The sequence below is a fragment of the Homo sapiens genome, chromosome 3 (genome assembly GCF_000001405.40).
Source record: "Homo sapiens chromosome 3, GRCh38.p14 Primary Assembly".
Lineage (NCBI taxonomy): Eukaryota > Metazoa > Chordata > Mammalia > Primates > Hominidae > Homo > Homo sapiens.
The window spans coordinates 145,715,236-145,734,598 of record NC_000003.12 but is presented as its reverse complement, the minus strand read 5'-3'; the positions used below and the strand labels follow the sequence as shown (position 1 = coordinate 145,734,598).

General features: G+C 33.3%; 1 annotated feature.

The window, feature by feature from the left end:
* Positions 15,003-15,598: an enhancer, noted in NCBI's record as "OCT4-NANOG hESC enhancer chr3:145436788-145437383 (GRCh37/hg19 assembly coordinates)". NCBI's record gives its function as "activates a minimal SCP1, AML or CMV promoter by ChIP-STARR-seq in naive H9 embryonic stem cells {active_cell/tissue: H9 hESC(naive)}" and the evidence as "EXISTENCE:reporter gene assay evidence [ECO:0000049][PMID:30033119]".

Genomic DNA, 19,363 nt, shown 5'->3' with positions numbered 1-19,363 from the left:
AAATCAAAGTATCTTACCCCAAAATATATCTTATTAATAGTTCTACTTGAAAACTGATTTTAATGTGGCCCTGAGATGAACAAAATATCTGTTTCCTAGATATCTCTACACAAGTGTAGAGCTATCTGGGTGACAGAACAGGATCCTGTCTAAAAAAAATTAAATGAAATTAAAATTATAATAAAATTAAAAATGTAAATATTTATTAGATCAGAACAAATAAATCAGTGATTTTGACTATACAGTAATTTTCTAAAAATATTGGCTTAATTTATGGTTTCTGGAAGGGTACAGGTAAATATGTAACCATATGCATATTTAAAACTACTAAATTTATATCAATCACAGAACACCTTTTTATGTTTATCTAACATGGTGCTCTTGAAATTTTGAATTATATAATGATCATTTTTGCTATAGCAGCAGTGTTTTTCATTCACTAAATCTATTTTGTATTGTTACTTTAATTGTATCTTAAATTTAATGAAATTATTTAGCTTAAATTGTAAACAACTGTTGTTCTGGACTTTACAAAATGAGTACACATTTATTTCTAGAAGTTGTGGAATTCTTGTTAGGAAGATATGGAAAACCTTCCATCAAAACATTACTGTCACTGCTGATTATAGCAATGAGCATTATAAGGTATACCGAACCACATGACTGAAAAACTTATGGCCAAATAAAGACAGAATGTAATATTGATCAAAGAGCTGTGAACTAGATGGCAGGACATGTGAAACGAAACCCAGTCATGCTATCAGAAAATTGAACTGAGTTCTTTAGGTTTTAGATGGTTCCTGTTTAAAAATGAGAACATTGAACTATTTAATCAGTGACATCTTCCAAAATGATAAACCTGGAATTTACTTAATTTTTGTAAATTATCTCATGTGATGAAGAAAATTCACCTTGACAATCATTTTTAGATTTTGAAAGGTAAAATGTATGAATCTTATAATTACATTAGCAATTGACAAGTTGGTATGTATCCTAAAATAAGAAAAAAAATCCCACAAAATTCTACTTTTAACTGTGCTGCCTAAGCATCTAATTATTCTCCAATATTCTTATTTCTATAACACTTTAATATCATAACCTCCATGTCGACCTACTCTTTTATAATTCAGAATAATGCAATTTTAATGTATGTATTATATAAAAATTGTTTGTATCTATGATGTAGATGCAAAATACTTATTACATTGATATTCTCCCCTTTCTAAGGATCTCACAGAGCTATATCCATTCATGAAACAGAGAAAAACAAGATACATTCAAACAAATAATCATGTTTTCCACAGTGTCAAACAGAAAATCAAATATAAAAAAGTATAAAAACAAAATTCCAGTTAGAAAAACATTTATTGTTATATAATCAAATATGTTCAATGGAAGAATCCAGTACTATTGTTTAACAAATTTCATCTTCTTGAATATGTTTTCAATTATTTGTAGCATTCAAACAAGCTTCTATTCAGTCATCAACTTTTCATTCTTTCTGTTTAATACTGCTTGCTTCTTTCCTGTTCTCATCAAATACAGTATTCAAACACATGGAAAGGTGATTAACAAAAACTGAGTGAAAGTTGGCTAAGTATAGAATTATCACCAAGTTAGATATCATTAGAATGGAAAATTAGTAACTACTTCTAAAAAGCAGCATTGTAGATTTACATGCAAATGTGAATGGTTTAATTCATCTAATTCTATAACTCTTTAAACATTTTCATGATAATCCAATGCAGAGATTTTAATTATACAACATAGTTTAACAAGTTATTTTCTTGGTGCTGTTTTGCAAAGATAAGGCAAGAACTTTGTTTTAAGGCAGAACTCTGAAGTTGTGTTCACGTTACAAATAAATTTTCTTATATATATGTATTCTAGTTTCTTTAAATGTGCACATCTTCGATAGTTTTAAATTGTTGTAAATCATATCATACATACAAAAATATAAATATTATATGTGTATGTTTCAAAATAATAAAAAATTTTCACGCTCACCACCCAGCTTATAGAAGTGCAGTATATATATCTTTAAAGCCTTCTATTTACCTCTCTCCAATTTTGTCTGCATTTCTGACTCCCAGTTTCTGAATTTTGTGTTTATCATTCTCTTGCTTTTCTTTATAGTGTTATTGTGTATCAATGCATCCCTAACACTACACTGCTAATTTGCATACTTCATAAACTTTACAGAAGTAGAATTGTATTCTGTGTATTATTCTGTGTTATGTTTCTTTTATTTAATATTGTGTTTTCTATTGTTACTGACGGATGAGGTGTTTATCTAAGTTGTATTGCTGTTTGCTATCCCATTATGAATGCTACTACATTTTATGTATCTATTCTCCTGTCAAAGAGAATTGGATTATTTCAAAGGCTGGCCCTTCCAAATGGTGCTGCCATGAATCCTCTTGCGCTTTTCTTCAGGGCAAACAGCTAAGAATGGAATTGCTGGGCCACATGATATTCACATCTGTAGATTTGCTAAATAATGCGAGGTTGTTTCTCATTATGGTTACATAAATAACTTCATCCACTAACAATTGATGTATTTCAGTTATTCCACACACACGCTAAGAATTTTTCCATGACATTTTAATTCTTGGTATCTGAGTGTAGAATTTTTACCTCATAATTTTATTTTCTCCCACTTACTAATCACTTTTCATATTTGTGTTTTCTCTTCCGTGAACTATTTCTCTTGTTTAAGAAATTCTTAGACTTGTTTACTTTCTCTCTGTATCTGTTTCTTTTTCTCCCATGCATGTTTTGGAGGCATTTTACTTTCTAGTTCACCCAACTGCAGTTATCACCTTGAGAACTACTTTTCCTGGGAGTCACTAACCAAGCTTGGTCTAGGATACTAGGCCTTGTCTTCTGTGTGCCCTTTTGTGTGGTGGATTTGAGTCAAAGCCTTGAGCCACCATGTATTACTGGTGGTTCCAGCTTCAGCTCCTACTTAGTTCTCCATAGTAATGTATTTTCATTCGCTTTAAAGGATTAAAAATAATGATAATCAGCATTTTTAATTGGATTATACCTGGAGGTTGTTTCAAGCTACCACTTTTCTAGAAGAAGAAATTATTTGATTTATCTTATTCAGAAATAATTCACTTGGTGCAATATCCATAGATGAAGAAGGTTGTGATATCTGTGTATCCAAGTTTTATTTGTATTTATTTATGTTCTCACAATATCATGTTACCTGTAACTAAGTTAAAATGTCTATGTTTGTCACATCCTAATAATTCCTTACATGGTGGTATGCTTGCTCTGTACTTTGCAATACTACAGCCCCTTCTCTACCACAGTTGTTAAAATTGGTAGTATCTGACTCAAGAATAGCTAGCACCTTAGCTAATCTTCCCATTAGAATGTGGCCCAGTGTAAAATCGCCACACAAAGAAACACAGGCCTTATGAAGACCAGTTAGAGATTCTATCTTATATTTGATCTGGGCAATATAGTATCTGTCAATTGTTAGGTGTGTATTTGGTAAAAGTGAACTGAATGAAGCCAAATCTAAAAGAAAGAACAGTTACATAGAGAAGACAGTGAGTTTGTTAATTACATCAGGAAACAGATTTGCAGAGCAGACACTGGCAAATTACAAGAGAGAATAAGTATTTCTTAACTTCTACTCTTGAAGGTTTGTTAAAGATAACAAGTTTCCTGGAGCTTCTTTGTAAAGGTGAAAGGGCACCCATGTCCAATGCTTGAAAGAACAATTGTATTAGAATGTGGAGGAGTGCTGTATGCAGGAAAGGACCAGACCTTTTTATTTCCAGCTTATTATTGATCAATAATTTAGTAAATCATAATTAAAATGAAATACTTGAAAACTGAGATAGAAAACAAATAAGCAATATGCAAGGTCATATTTTTAAAATTAAATTCATCAGACAAAAGTCCACTCTTTCAGGTTCCTATAAAAGTCTAAATGGTTACCTCCATATTCCTGAACTCATTTAATTTATTAGTCACATTGGCAGAACTTGCACTGGCTGTGGACCACACTGTAAAAAGTACTGGTTTAGAGGAACTCACCTGTTCTTTCCCTGTGCTTCTACTTCTGCGCAAGTAGGGAGGAGTGGGGGCATTTTTATCTTCTTGCCCCAAGTTTTAGCATCTCCCCCATGGGGCTGTCACTCTGTCTACCCTTCTATCAAGCTTCATCAGTTGGATCCAAGAAAAGAGGAAAGCCTACTCAAGACACAGTCCAGCATAATCATTAGCTTACACTTTCTATTGTCTTGGGTGGTGTTTTTAATTTTAGAAGCTATGAGTGCCATACCTACGTATGCTTGCCTGTTTACTTTCTTTCTGTTTTACCATCTTGTCACTGCAATGTTGCAATTAAATTGGTTCAGACTCAAATGTAAATAATCTGTCATTTTGCTTCATGGTGGAGGAAGAACTTACATTGTGGAACAAAATTCTACATGTGGAGATTGAATCTTTTTGTCTGTGTAGCCAGTGTGAACAGATATAATTGGAAACAACTATTGCAATCAAGAAAGTAAGCATATTTGGGGTTCAGGATCTCACACTCAACAAGCACCTAGTCTTAGTTGTGACTAAAAGTTTACTTCTAGAAAAAAGGAGAACTTCTGAAAGCTTTGACTGCAATGGACAGTTTTGATTCTCCCTAAGTTCATATGTCAAGATGAAGAAGGAGAGCTCTTGTTCAATCCATGGAAAGGTCACTTCAAAAGAAGTTTTATCAGAATTTAAAAAATTAACTTCTTCATTTTCTGTTTTCATGCCTGGTGCTATGGTCTCTTTGGCTTCTTTAGGGCAAGTCAAGTCTTGCTGTTTCAGAAAAGCAGTTTGTGGGAAGAAATATGTGTAGTTTCAGGGGATTAATAAAGCTAAACCAAGCCCCAAGGATGTAAATAGCAAGAGGAAGATAAGAAATGGATAAAGCACATTGTGACAGTTATTCCCTCAGTGCGTTTTATTAGGGCACTGAGGGAATACGATCAGAGAGAGTCAAGAATGGAAGCACAGGGGCAGGAAAGCCTTTGATTTTCTGCAACACTGTGGAAAATAGCAGGCAAAATTAGGGCCTTGGTAAGCGATTTCTTCTGGTTGAACTTAAGTTAATAACCAATGGAAAAGAAGATTGGCAACAAGATGATTGACATTTCAGTAAGACTAAAATGAATATGTATATAATTTTATTTTTATTTTTACTTTATCTGTCTAGTCTAAACCTTCTTTAGTCCAGCTGTTTTAAAATCCTTTCTATGTCCCATTAGTGGAAATAACCAAAATTTATTTTCTTAAAAAATGTTATTGCTCTGGCTGGGCATGTGGCTCAAGCCTATAATCCTAGCACTTTGGGAGGCTGAGGCAGGAGGATTGCTTGAGCTCAGGAGTTTGAGACCAGCTGGGCAACATAGACAGACTGTGTCTCTACAAACAATATTTCTTAAAAATACCTAGGCACGGAGGCATGTGCCTGTAGTCTTACCTCAGGAGGCTGAGGCAGGAGAAACTCTTGAGCCCAGGAGTTAGAGGCTGCAATGAAATATGATCATGCCACTACTCTACAGCCTGGGGGACAGAGTGAGATCCTGTCTCAAAATAAATACGTAAGTAAATAAAAATGAAACAAATATATTTTTTGCTGCAGTGGTTACGTTTGGTTTTATATTTTATAGTGATTGAGGCTGGTATTAAATTTACATATTCTATTATCCATTTTGATGCATGGAATTGATGGTCACTGTTATGGGCAGAATTGTGCTCCCTCAGAATCCATATCGAAGTTGTAACCCCAAGTACCTCAGAATGTAGCTACATATAGAGATAGGACATTTCAAAAGGTAATTAAGGTAAAATGAGGTCATATGGTGCACCCCAACCCAATGTGACAGGTGCCCTTATGTCCAGAGGAGATTAAGACACAGACACAGACAAAGGAAATACCATGTGAAAACACAGGGAGAAGATAACCATTTGTAAACCAGAAAGAGAGGCCTCAGGAAGAAAACAGACAAACAAACAACAACAACAAACTATTGACACATTGATCTCAGATTTTAGCCTCTGGAAATGCAAGAAAATAAGTTTCTGTCACTAAGCTACCCAGGCTGTGGTATTTTGTCATGGCAGCCCTAGCAAACTAATGCTAACATGTAGAGACATATGAGGAGAGACTTAACTTTGGAGAGGTGGAAGAAGTACCTTTTACTTCAGTAAAGAATATGTCAAGTTTCACTGCTGAGTAAAGAACCACACTTCTACCCAGACATCAGAATATTGCTCATTTTGGCTTAAACTGAACAAAATATAAAATTTTAGGGGAAAAACATGCTGTAGTGTAATTTATTTTGTCATTAAATTCTATAAAGGAATGTGACTTTATTTGTGGGTTTTAATGTCACTTTGGGAGTTTAATAATGAGAAATGGTTTTAAGTTTTGAGCATTTATTATCTTATTAGTACGTCTACCGTAAAATCTCCATGAATTATGCTGGACAATATAGGAGTTATTTACTTGATTGTTTATAGTTGGGTATTTGGTGGGCTAAAAATGTGAGAGGAATGAATATAAAAGGGATGATGTGCTGTACTTTAAAAGGTCAGCATCCATGCATGATGCCCACTTTTCCCATTTCTGGCTTCTATATTTTGAATAGTAGGACCTGCCTCCATGGACTAGCCTGTGTGTGTGTGTGTGTGTGTGTGTGTGTGTGTATGTGTAACAAATTGTCCTCAAATATTAGCAGCTTAAAAAGTACATATTTAGCATTTCACAGTTTCTGTGGGGCAGGAATAAATGTTGGCATAGCTTAGGGCCTCTCACAAGTCCTTAATCAAGGCATCAGCTGTTGGTACAGTCTACTCAGGATTTGCCTGAGGCAGGGTTTGTTTCCAAACTCATTCAGTGGTTGTTGGCAAGATTCAGTTACTTATGGGCAATTGAACTGAGAGCCTCAGTACATCACTGGCTGTTGGCCGAAGTCCACCCTTAGTTCCTTGCCATGTGGATCTCTCCATAGCCGCTTACCACATGGCAGCTGGGTTTATCAAAGTGAACAAGAGAGACAGAGTGAGTTTCAGTAAAAAGGAAGATACAGTTTCTTGTAACTTAATCGAGGAAATGACATGACCACTTTTGCTGTATTCGATTTGTACCGTATTTGTTGGAAGCTACTCACTAGATCCAGCCCATCCCCAGGACAATGGATTACACAGGGGATCATGTTAGAAGGCTGCCTAACTTTGTGCTTTATTGCTTCTATTTCTGTAACTCTATGTGGATACTAGGTAGATAAAACTTATGCTTCAGCTTGTTTTTCACATTGAAATACTGTAAATTCAGAGGGATTTACTTCAGTTTCCAGGTCTTAGTAGTGTTTTCAAATACAATTTTTTACAAGTAAGACCTGGATTGTGTGAGTGATTTTTTTTTTTTTTTTTGTCTATTAGTCATGTGGTACTTTGTTTCTCATTGGGTTATTTTTCCTTATATACAATGGTTCCACATAAGGTTTTCAAGGAGATTGTGGTCTCCAGAACATACATCAGAGGGTTTACTAACATGAGGGCTACAAAATCTTATATGCAGCAACAAGGAGATAACAGTGACGTTAATGAGAGCAGATTTGGTAGATGATTAGAAACAGAACATTGAAACACGTTGAATACTGAAGATGACAGAGGTAGGGATATAGCATGTATTAACTCATGTTATTCATTTATTCATACATATTCCTTCATAAATATTCCTTACTATAAGATATCATGTAGAGGCACAAGGGATACTGTGGTGAACAACTAACTCAAAGTTTCTAAACCTCATTTTAGTGAGAAGAGCAATTTTAAATAATGAATTTTGGAGGTATTTTTTATTGCAATTGTGATAAACACTATCAAGGAAATAGAGATCTATCCATGAGAATGCATTAAAGAACAACCCCTAGTCAGAGTTTATGAGAGGAGTCTACCTGGAGGAAATGACAACTCAGCTGATCTCTTAGTAAAGATCAGGAGTTAATTATGAGTAGAGGAAGGAGAAAAGGATCCAAGCAAATAGAAAACTGTGTGCCAAGGTTTTTAATTTGGAAGCATCATGGTTTCTTGGAAGAATTAAAAAAAAAGCAAAACAGGACACCAGTGGGCTATGGTGTAAGTTGGGTGTCTTAGTCTACTTGTGGTACTATAACAAAATACATCACAGGAATTTATTTCCCACAGCTCTGGAGACTGAGAAGTCCATGATTAAGGTGCAAGAAGGTTCAGTGTATAAGGAGGGCCTGGTCTCTTTTTCCGAGAAGGCTCCTTGTTTCTATGTACCCCAGACATGAGAAACGTTATGCACTCACATGATGAAAGAGATGGAAGAGGGAGGCAATTGTGTTAAGCTGCTTTTACAAGGGAATTAATGTCTCACATTATCTAATCACCTCTCATGGGTGCCATCTTTTGATATCATCACCTTGGCAGGTAAATTCCACGTAAGAATTTTGGAGGGACACATACATTTAAACCACAGCATTCAAGATATTAAGTAGGGGCTGTATAAGCCATGTTAAGAATTTAGGACTTTAAGACAATGAGACGCAGAGAAAGAACATGACCACAAGGTCAGGATTACTTTAAAAAGTCTGACTTTGTGGGGAGCTTAGGCAAATGTACCAAAGAAAGAATATCGGTGTATAGCAGGGAAAATTGTTATACCACAAATTATGTGATGTAAAAATACTTTGCTCTTTAGTTTAATTAATTTTTATAATTTTCACATAATTATCTACAATTTTACTCTTGAAACCCATCCCACTTAATTTCAGGGTAAAATATTCTTGAACTTAAAAGTATCTGTCTCAACTTATCAGTCTCTAAACTCTACTGAGTTTGTTTGTCAAGGTTTTTCTTCACCCTTCTTTTTGCAAAGAGTGTCTGGTTGTAGTGTAAGGTTTCTGCCATTTCACTTGAATGAGGAATAGATTGTTGACTGTGTTTGTGGATTTATGTGTTCTATGTGTCCTTGGTAGTTTTGACTGTAAGAAAATAGTGAGATTTGAAAGCTGAGGCTTTTGCACTGGACCATGGATGATCAATGCAGCTTGCCAGGTTCTTCATGGCATCATGCTAAAAACTGAGCATCTTGGCAGGGTGCTCTTGGCTGTGAAGTCTTTAAAAACTGAGCTCTTTTTTTATCATGGTCACAGACCTTGATTCGTCTTCTGGTCCTCTCAGCACTTCTATGTGCAGTGCTTTCCCAGTTGTGATACACTGGACATTTAGACTATACTGCAATACTTATGCAACTTGGATAGATAGGTCCATTCAAAACATGCTGCATTACTGTTTTTCAACATGTTAAATGGCTGACTGGGGGCCTTGAAGACTCTGCTATGCTATACTTTAAAAAATATGCCATTATCCACAGTATTTTAGATTTCTCCAAATCACTGGTATAATTCTACCACATGTTCTCTTCAAGTAGTATCATTTATATGAACTCATGGCTTCCTTAAGTGTCATTTAAGGAATTTAAAACATTATTTTCTCTTTCTAATAATCCTTGACTTTCATCCTTTTGTCTAGATATAAACTAAAAATATTACTGTTGGAAGATTTAAAATTCTGTATGTTGTAGTACATTGAATTTCAACTTTATCTGGAGACTTAGTTCTAGTTTCCCATTTTATCTATACCCTGTGTAGCTATTAAAACCCAAAGCTCTGGGTTATCAGGTGTATTAGTTTATTCTTGCATTGCTATAAAGAAATACCTGAGCCTACATAATTTATAAAGAAAATAGGTTCAATTGGCTCATGGTTCTACAGGCATGGAGGAATCAGCTTCTGGGGGTGCTCAGGAAACTTGTAATCACGGTGGAAGGCAAAGGGGAGCGAGGTTTCTCACAAGGCTGGAGCAGGAGGAAGATAGAGAGAGGGGGGAGGTGCTATACACTTTTAAAACATCCAGACCTCCCGATAACTCATTCACTTACTATCAGGAGAATAGCACGAAGAGGATGGTGCTAAATCATTCATGAAAACTCCTTCCCCATGATCCAATCAACTCCCACTAGGCCCCACCTCCAACAATGGGGATTATAATTCGAAATGAGATTTGGTGAGGATTATAATTCGAAATGAGATTTGGTGGGGACACAGTTACAAACCATATCACCAGGCATAGCACAAACCCTGAGGGTTTATCATTGGCTTACTACCTAGAGTCATGACTGATCATGCTTATTTTTTATGATGTGTGAATTTTAAATTTTCTGTTTTTAAGTTCAGTTAATGCACTTAAACTATATTAGCTATTTGATAATAGCCATTCTAACAGGAGTAAGGTATTATCTCATCTTGGTTTTGATTTGCTCTTCACTAATGGTTAGTGACATTGATATGGTTTGGCTCTTGTGGGAGGGACCCAGTGGGAGGTAATTGAATCATGGGGGCAAGTCTTTCCTGTGCTCACTCTTTTGTGATAGTGAATAAGTCTCACAAGATCTGACAGGTTTAAAAAGAGGAGTTCCCCTCTACAAGCTCTCTCTCTTTGCCTGCTGCCATCCATGTGAGACATGACTTGCTCCTCCTTGCCTTCCACCATGATTGTGAGGCTTCCCCAGCCACGTGGAACTGTAAGTCCAATTAAACCTCTTTCTTTAGTAAATTGCCCAGTCTCAAGTATGTCTTTATCAAAAGCATAAAAACGACTAATATGGATGTAGAGCATCTTTTCATGTACCATTTTGAAATTTGCATGTCTTCTTTTGAGAAATATGTATTCAGGTCACTTGCCCACTTTTAAATTCTAGTTATTTGTGTTTTTGCTATTGAGTTGTATGAGTTTCTTATATATTTTAGATATTAACCTCTTATCAGATAAATGATTTGCAAACATTCTCTTTTATTCTATAGGTTGCCTTTTCACTCTGCTTATTGTTTTTACTGCTGCGCAGAAGCTTTTTAGTTTGATGAAATCCAACTTGTCTATTTTTGTTTCTGTTGCCTGTGCTTTTGGTTTTGCAACTGAAAAAATTATTGCCAAGACCAATGCCAAGAAGGTTTCTCCTTATTTCATTTTATTTTTTGGTAATTTTACAGTTTCAGGTCCTAGTCTTTAATCTGTTATTCATTTTGGGTTCATTTTTGTATATGGTGTGAGATAAGGGTCCATTTTTATTCTTCTGAATGTGAATACCCAGTTTACCTTAAACCATTTATTGAAGCAAAAAAGGACAAAAGGATAAAGAAAATGTTGCATATATACAATGAAATATTATTCTGTTTCAAAAAAGGAAGGAAATTCTGCCATTTGTAACAACATAAATGTACCTTGAAGATATTATGCTATGTGAAATAAACCAGACACAGACAAACAGAGCATACTCTTACTTACATGTGGAATCTAAAATAGTCAAACTTATAGAAACAAAGAGTAGAATGGTTAGATGATGGTTGCCAGGGGGCAGAGGAGAGTGAGAAGTTGGTCAAGGGAACAAAGTGTCAGTTATGTAAGATGAATGACTTCTGGAGATCTAACGTAGAGCATGGTGAGTATAGTAATAACAATACTGTACTATGTATTTGAAATTTGCTAAGAGGACATGTCTTAATATTCTCACCATACACACATACACACACACATGCACACACAAAGAAAATAGTAATAATGTGAGGTTATGATTATGTCAATTAGCATGATGGTGGTGATCATTTCACCATGCATACATGTATTAAAACACTAAGTCATACCTCTTAAATATGTACAATTTCCATTTATCAATTATATCTTGAGAAACCTGAAAAAAAATTAAAAATAAAATATCTCAGATATTATTTGAAAATGTTTTATTGTGAGAGGGTCTCTAGAATATTTATACAACAGGATTACTCTCAAATTTGGCCGCATCTATTATCTTTTTTGCTATAGTTGTAATTCCCTATTAGTTTTTCTACTATTGCTTCCTTGGCATTACTAAACCATTTCACTCTTTCTGTTGTTTTGCTATATCTTTTTGGAGCCCTTTTCTCTTTTCTTTGAGATCTTCCTTTAGAGATAATATATTTTCTTTCAGTACTATAACATAATTGAGTAGTGGCATATTTTTTAATTTCTTTGTGGTTTATATATTTGTTATGTTTCTTCTTATAATTTACATACTTGCCTCTCTTTCTCCCATCTGAATGTAGTACTAATATTGGTTTCCTGTAGGTTCATACTTATAACATAATAATCCAACAAATGATTGAATGTGTGAGGGGAGAAGCATGTGAAGCAGAGCCTGGTCAGCAGGGACTTGGGTTGTAGTCTGTGGCACAGCCCATTCTCACCCACACTCTGCTTTTGCATGTTTCTCCCCGAGGCTGGTAGGAATTAAGGTTCAACTAGCAGGGAAGCTTCATATTCATGTATCAGGTAGACTCTTAAGCCATCCTAAATCAATTGCAGAGCTTCTTTGTTGCCCACATTTTCCCTTTTATCCTGCAAAAAGAAAGTCTTATTCTTTCACACTTGACATGTCTGGAAGTTTCCTGGTTCTACCTCATTCCTCTTGCACTCAGCAGCATGAGGCAGCATGCTTGTTTGAGTCTTCTGGACATGCAAACTACCTGGGGACAAGGGCTTTACTTAGTGTCTGCAGCATCTGTTATAGACAACCTTATTTTACCTCACCTTATCTTTACTGTTATTAATAAATGCTGTCTTTGGATTGTAGCATTCTTTTGGAACTCTATCTAGTTAAACTAAACGTTAGTTTTTCTTATTTTAATTCTTGTTGACTTTTTTTTGTTTGAAAGAAGAAATTGCATTGCATTGTTAAAAAAAATTCATGATACATTAAAACAGTAAGGCAGGTTTTATTTATACTATTTATTAAAACCGTAAGGCAGGGGACTATCATAATAGGTATAGGGACTACTGGAGTGGGATTTACAGTAAAGGGGTAAGATTAGGCTCAACTCTGAATACAACAAGGAATGGTAGGAATTTATAGCCGAGGAGCAGGGGTGGGTGAATGAAAAGCACCAAGAGGAAACATCAGGGGTAAGAGGAGATTCTGGTTAAATCGCCCTAACAGGATTCTTGCTGAAGTCAGGCCACAGTAATCAGACATCACCTGGGCTATGGTGGAGGATAAGAGCCCTGACCAGATATTGAAGGTGACCAAATATGAGGGTGGGATGTACATATATATATTATAATTCATTTATATATATATAATCTAGCAGAATTTATATATATAAATTCATTCATTTATATATATATTTATATATATTTATATATACACACCATTTGTTTATATATAATATTATATATAAATATATATATTTTTATATATATATATAATATTATATATAAATATATATATTTTTATATATTTATATATAATATTTATATATATATTTTTTATATATTTATATATAAATATTATATATAAGTAAATATATTTTTTATATATTTATATATTTTATTTATATTTATATATATTTATATATATATTTTTATATATTTATATATATTTATATATATTTTTATATATATTTATATATTTATATATTTATATATATTTTATATATATTTATATATATTTATATATATTATATATTATATATATTTATATATATTATATATTATATATATTTATATATTTTATATATATTATATATATTATATATATTTATATATATTATATATATTTATATATATTTATATATATTATATATATTATATATTATATATATTATATATATTATATATATTATATATATTTATATATATTATCTATATTATATATTATATATATTTATATATATTATATATATTATATATTTATATATATTTATATATTATATATATTATACATTTATATATATTTATATATTATATATATTTATATATTATATATTATATATTTATATATATTTATATATTAGATATATTATATATATTTATATATTATATATATTATATATTTATATATATTTATATATTATATATATTATATATATTTATATATTATATATATTATATATATTTATATATTATATATATTATATATATTTATATATTATATATATTTATATATTTAAATATATTTATATATTATATATATTATATATATTTATATATATTATATATTATATATATTATATATATTTATATATATTATATATTATATATATTATATATATTTATATATTATATATATTATATATATATAATATATAATATATATTTATATATATTATATATTATATATATTTATATATATTTATATATTATATATATTTATATATATTTATATATTATATATATTATATATTTATATATATTTATAGATTTTATATGTATAAATTATATATATTTATATATAAAAATATATAAATTATATATATTTATATATAAAAATATATACATTTTATATATATGTTTGTATATTTATATATAAATTTATATATATATTTTTATATATTTAATATAAAATATTAAATATATAAAAAAATATATAAATATATATATGAATATATATATAAATATATATATATATATAAAACTTAGCAGAATTCTTGCTAAACTAACTTAGCAGGATTCTTCCAAAATTAGGTGATGCAAAGACATGCCAAAAGTCTAAGGCCTAGTTGGCAAGAGGATTCAGAGGTACCTGACTACTATTTGGTCAGAAAAATATTCTGCGTCTGTAGCAAAAATTGAAAAAAATACTTCTGAGATATTTAAACACAAATAGGACAGTGCAATTTGAGCACTAACCTAAACGTGTGTGTAAACAAAGTCCAAATCAACTTTCACTAATTCCTCCTTTTCTCTCCTTCCTCTCTTCATTTATTCATTTATTTTCTTATAACAGACCCTAAAACTCCTCAAATATCCTTTATTGAATATAAGTGAAAACAAATAGGAAAAAGGCAGGAAAATAAGATCCTTTATGAGGTAAGTAATATAAAAGAAAGGTTTCATATTAATATTAATTTTCAATATTAAAGATAGATCTGTCTCCTCCATTGCATTACCATGAATATGGTACATTATGAGAAAAGTAATAACTCATAATTGGTAGATTATTAAGGTGTACCTTAAAGGCAGAATTATGTTTCTATTAAGACAGCTCTGTTTCTCTTGCCATTCTTTTTACAATAATGTTTCGTTTTCTTTTCTTTGCTTTGCTTTTTGTTCTGTCTTGAAACACTGGGAAATGACCATAATAGCTGTTTTCTTTAGGCAGTGAGCAGTGAGTGAATGTTGAACTCCCTGTGGACTAAGCATTTTGATGCAAATTTCCTCAGAAAAAGCAACAGTGCTGTTGATTGCTGCAGAGCCACTGTACCTCAGAGTATGGGGTGCTTCAGTGCTCTCTTATCCTGAGGCTGTGTATTAACTACACTATTGAACAGCAAGTGCTTATCATCCCTACCATTCAGACCACATAAATCTCTGGAAAGAGACAATGTCCCTCCAGGGAACTTAACTAGCCCACAAAAATGTCACATACACAAAAATCAAACTATATTTAGCCTATAGAACTGGAAAAGCAAAGGTAATTGTAGCTATTAGAAAAATATTTATATTACTACCATGTATCAAAGCAATTGATTTTTAGGGAAGCTTTGTTTTTCAGGCAAAAAGTAATATTTTCTTTAAATAAAAGTATTTCAACCATACAAATGGCAACATTCTACTATTCTGTATTTATTTCACTTACTGTTATTGTTTTATTGCATTACCAAATTATTCTTGGATATCTACTAGGTATACAGAAACAATAGGTAGGCTAAAAAACTATGAGATTGGATTCTACTCTCTAGGATTTTGGCTCTTCCCAACTTTTATAATATTTCCTAATGGTGAATCCTGAGGAATCAGGGTAAAGGATTAAGGCTTGCAGCTTTCAGTTCACATTGTGGAGCAATGGAAACAAGGAGGGTTTTAGAGTCATACAGAATTACTTGTATTATTATAAAATTAATATATTACAGTACATTCATTGTAATTGGCATTTTATGAAGAAAGAATGATGCGTGCATACAGTAAAATAATCTAACAGCCCAAATTTATGAAATTAAAAGTAACTTTCCCTTGTACCCAGACCCCTACTCTTATTCACAAAGGCAAAGATTATTATATTTCCATATGGGTAATATTTTTTAAGTAGTCTGTGTATATCCAAGTAGAATATACACAAGAATATATACATACACAACAGTTGATATATGTATACAGTTGATCCTTCAACAACATGGGTTTGAACTGGGCAAGTCCACTTATATACAGATTTTCTTCACTTTTTGCCATTTCCTGAGGCAGTCAGACCAATCCTCTACTTTCTTCTTCTTAGCCTGGTCAATGTGAAAATCAAGAATGAAGATGTTTATGAAGATCAACTTCCACTTAATGAATAGTAAATGTATTTTTCTCTTCCTCATGATTATCTTAATAGCATTTTCATTTTCTCTAGCTTAATATATAGTAAAAATATTTTATGTAATACATACAACATATGAAATATTCGTAATTGACTATGTTACCAGTAAAGCTTGCAATCTATAGTCAGTTATAAGTAGTTACATTTTGGGAAAGTTAAGTTATAGGTAGATTTTCTACTGCATGAGGAATTGTTTCAGTCAACTGTATATATACATATATACATGTGTGTCAGTATATAAAAATATATGTAGGTAGTGAAGTTCAGGACATGGTACCTCAAAATATGACATCCTGATGTTTGAGAAAACAGTAGAAGCAGTAAGGTCATCCTCAACTTGACCATGCCTTTCTCCCCTGAAGCAGGTCATAAAACCTAGGAAAGATTTTATGACCTTTTCCTGAAGCAGTTTATAAGACTTTAATGTAAGAAGTTCCCTCTACCCCTCAAGGAAAAGAACATATTTATTTCTGAAGACACTGGGTCATAGAGAAGAATCTGAACTAACAGATCTATATTTCCTCCATTTTATTACCATTAAATTATAGTTTTTTATCAAGCCATACTTCCACATGACTATCCACTTTTCATCACAACTATCACAAAAACACACAGATTTACCCACTACTTTGGGTCTTTATATACTTATGAAGGCTCCTCCTTCACCTTTCGCCATGATTGTGAGGCCTCCCCAGCCATGTGGAACTGTGAGTCCATTAAACCTCCTTTCCTTTATAAATTATTCAGTCTTGGGTATGTCTTTATTAGCAGTGTGAGAACAGACTAATATGGCCCCTCACAGAGATTTATGAGCATGTCTTGCAAACTCTGTCTATTAAACAACAAGCCTTCTAGGAACCTTCATGCCATTGCCCCACAGAAAGTTAATGTAGATAACAAGGTAGAAAAGGACTTACCTTAAAGTATGGATGTAGGTTTTATCTAACAGAGTGGGTTATAAACCAATAGGCAAAAATCCCAAAAGTATTTGAAGAAATTGCAACAGCTTGAACTTATCAAAGAGACTTGGAAATACCAGAGACAGTACAAAATAAAAAGTTGCTTTGGACTCCGTGGAGAAAAGAGCTATAGAGAACAATTCAGAGGAAATAAACTCAAGTCTTAATCAAGTAACTGGCAATATGTGCCTGTCTTTATTTCATATTTTTAATATACTGATAACTGTTGTGTTCTTCAAATTTCCTTCTCTTTGAATATAGAGCTTATAACAGTTATCCTATCCCTGAGGCCTATCCTGGCACTGTATATGTGTGGTGGGGTAAATAATTTATCTTTTTGAATTCTCTGTTATTCAGGTCAAGATAAATGGTATTTGAAAAGCTGTATCTGGGTAAAAGGTCCACAAAAGCTTGATCCCCATCTGTACTTGATTAAATGACAGATTGTAGACTTCAGTCTGATGTTGTAATGGGATAGACCTCATGGGAAAGGAGAATATATTCTACACATGGGAGGGACCTAAATTTTTGTGGTCAGGAGATAAACTGTGACATACTCTTTTCTGAAAATGGCTGCCAAAACATCTCCCATCCCACATGATCTGAATACAGGGTAAATGTGGTACTTATTTATTTAAAATCTTGGTACATGTTCCTTTTCCTTGGATTTGGACGGGCTGTTATACTGTGATGAAAGTGGCACTTTGTGACTTCAGAGGCCAAACCATGAAACGTGATTTGTTTCTGCCTGGTTCTTTTGGGACACTTTAGGAACATGACCACCATGTCCCAGGAAAGCACAGCAGCTCAAGGAGAGGCCCAGGTGGAGAAGAACTGAGGTTAGTGGCCCCGTCTGAATCTTCCCTGCCAAGCAGCATAAGTATCATCAGCTATAAGTATTTCAACTTGAAAGTGGATCCTCCAGCCCCTTTTTGAGTCACCCCCAGTGGACCCTGTATGGGAGCACAGAAGAGTTGTCCCTGTCAAACCTTCCCAAATTTCAGAGTTGTGATAAAAAGAAATGATTTTGCTATTTCAAATTACTATGTTTTGGGAACATTTTGTCATGTGGCTGGGCTATCAGGATTTTCTGAGATCTGAAAATTATTTGAAGATTTTCATGCACGTCCGTGTGAAGAGACCACCAAACAGGCTTTCTGTGAGCAATAAAGCTGTTTATTTCACCTGGGTGCAGGCGGGCTGAGTCCGAAAAGAGAGTCAGTGAAAGGAGATAGGGGTGAGGCCATTTTATAGGATATGGGTAGGTAAAGGAAAAAGGGGGGTTGTTCTCTGGTGGGCAGGAGTGGGGGCCACAAGGTGCTCAGTAGGGGAGCTTTTTGAGCCAGGATGAGCCAGGAAAAGGAATTTCACAAGACAATGTCATCAGTTAAGGCAGGAACAGGCCATTTTCACTTCTTTTGTGGTGGAATGTCATCAGTTAAGGCAGGAACCGGCCATCTGGATGTGTACGTGCAGGTCACAGGGGATACAATGGCTTAGCTTGGGCTCAGAGGCCTGACATTCCTGTCTTCTTATATTAATGAGAAAAATAAAATGAAATAGTGGTAAAGTGTTGGGACGGCGAAAATTTTGGGGGGTGGTATGGAGAGATAATAGGCGATGTTTCTCAGGGCTGCTTCCAGCGGGATTAGGGGCAGCGTGGGAACCTAAAGTGGGAGAGATTAAGCTGAAGGAAGATTTCGTGGTAAGGGTGATATTGTGGGGTTGTTAGAAGAAACAATTGTCATTTAGAATTATTGGTGATGGCCTGGATACAGTTTTGTATGAATTGAAAAACTAAACGGAATAAGAGAAGGAGAAAAACAGGTATTAAAGGACTAAGAATTGGGAGGACCTAGGACATCTAATTAGAGAGTGCCTAAGGAGGTTCAGCATAGCCTTGCCAGCAAAGATTATTTATTTACTATAAGAGTTAAGAGTGGCGGTTTGGGGATAGCACCAGGAGATATCATCTGTG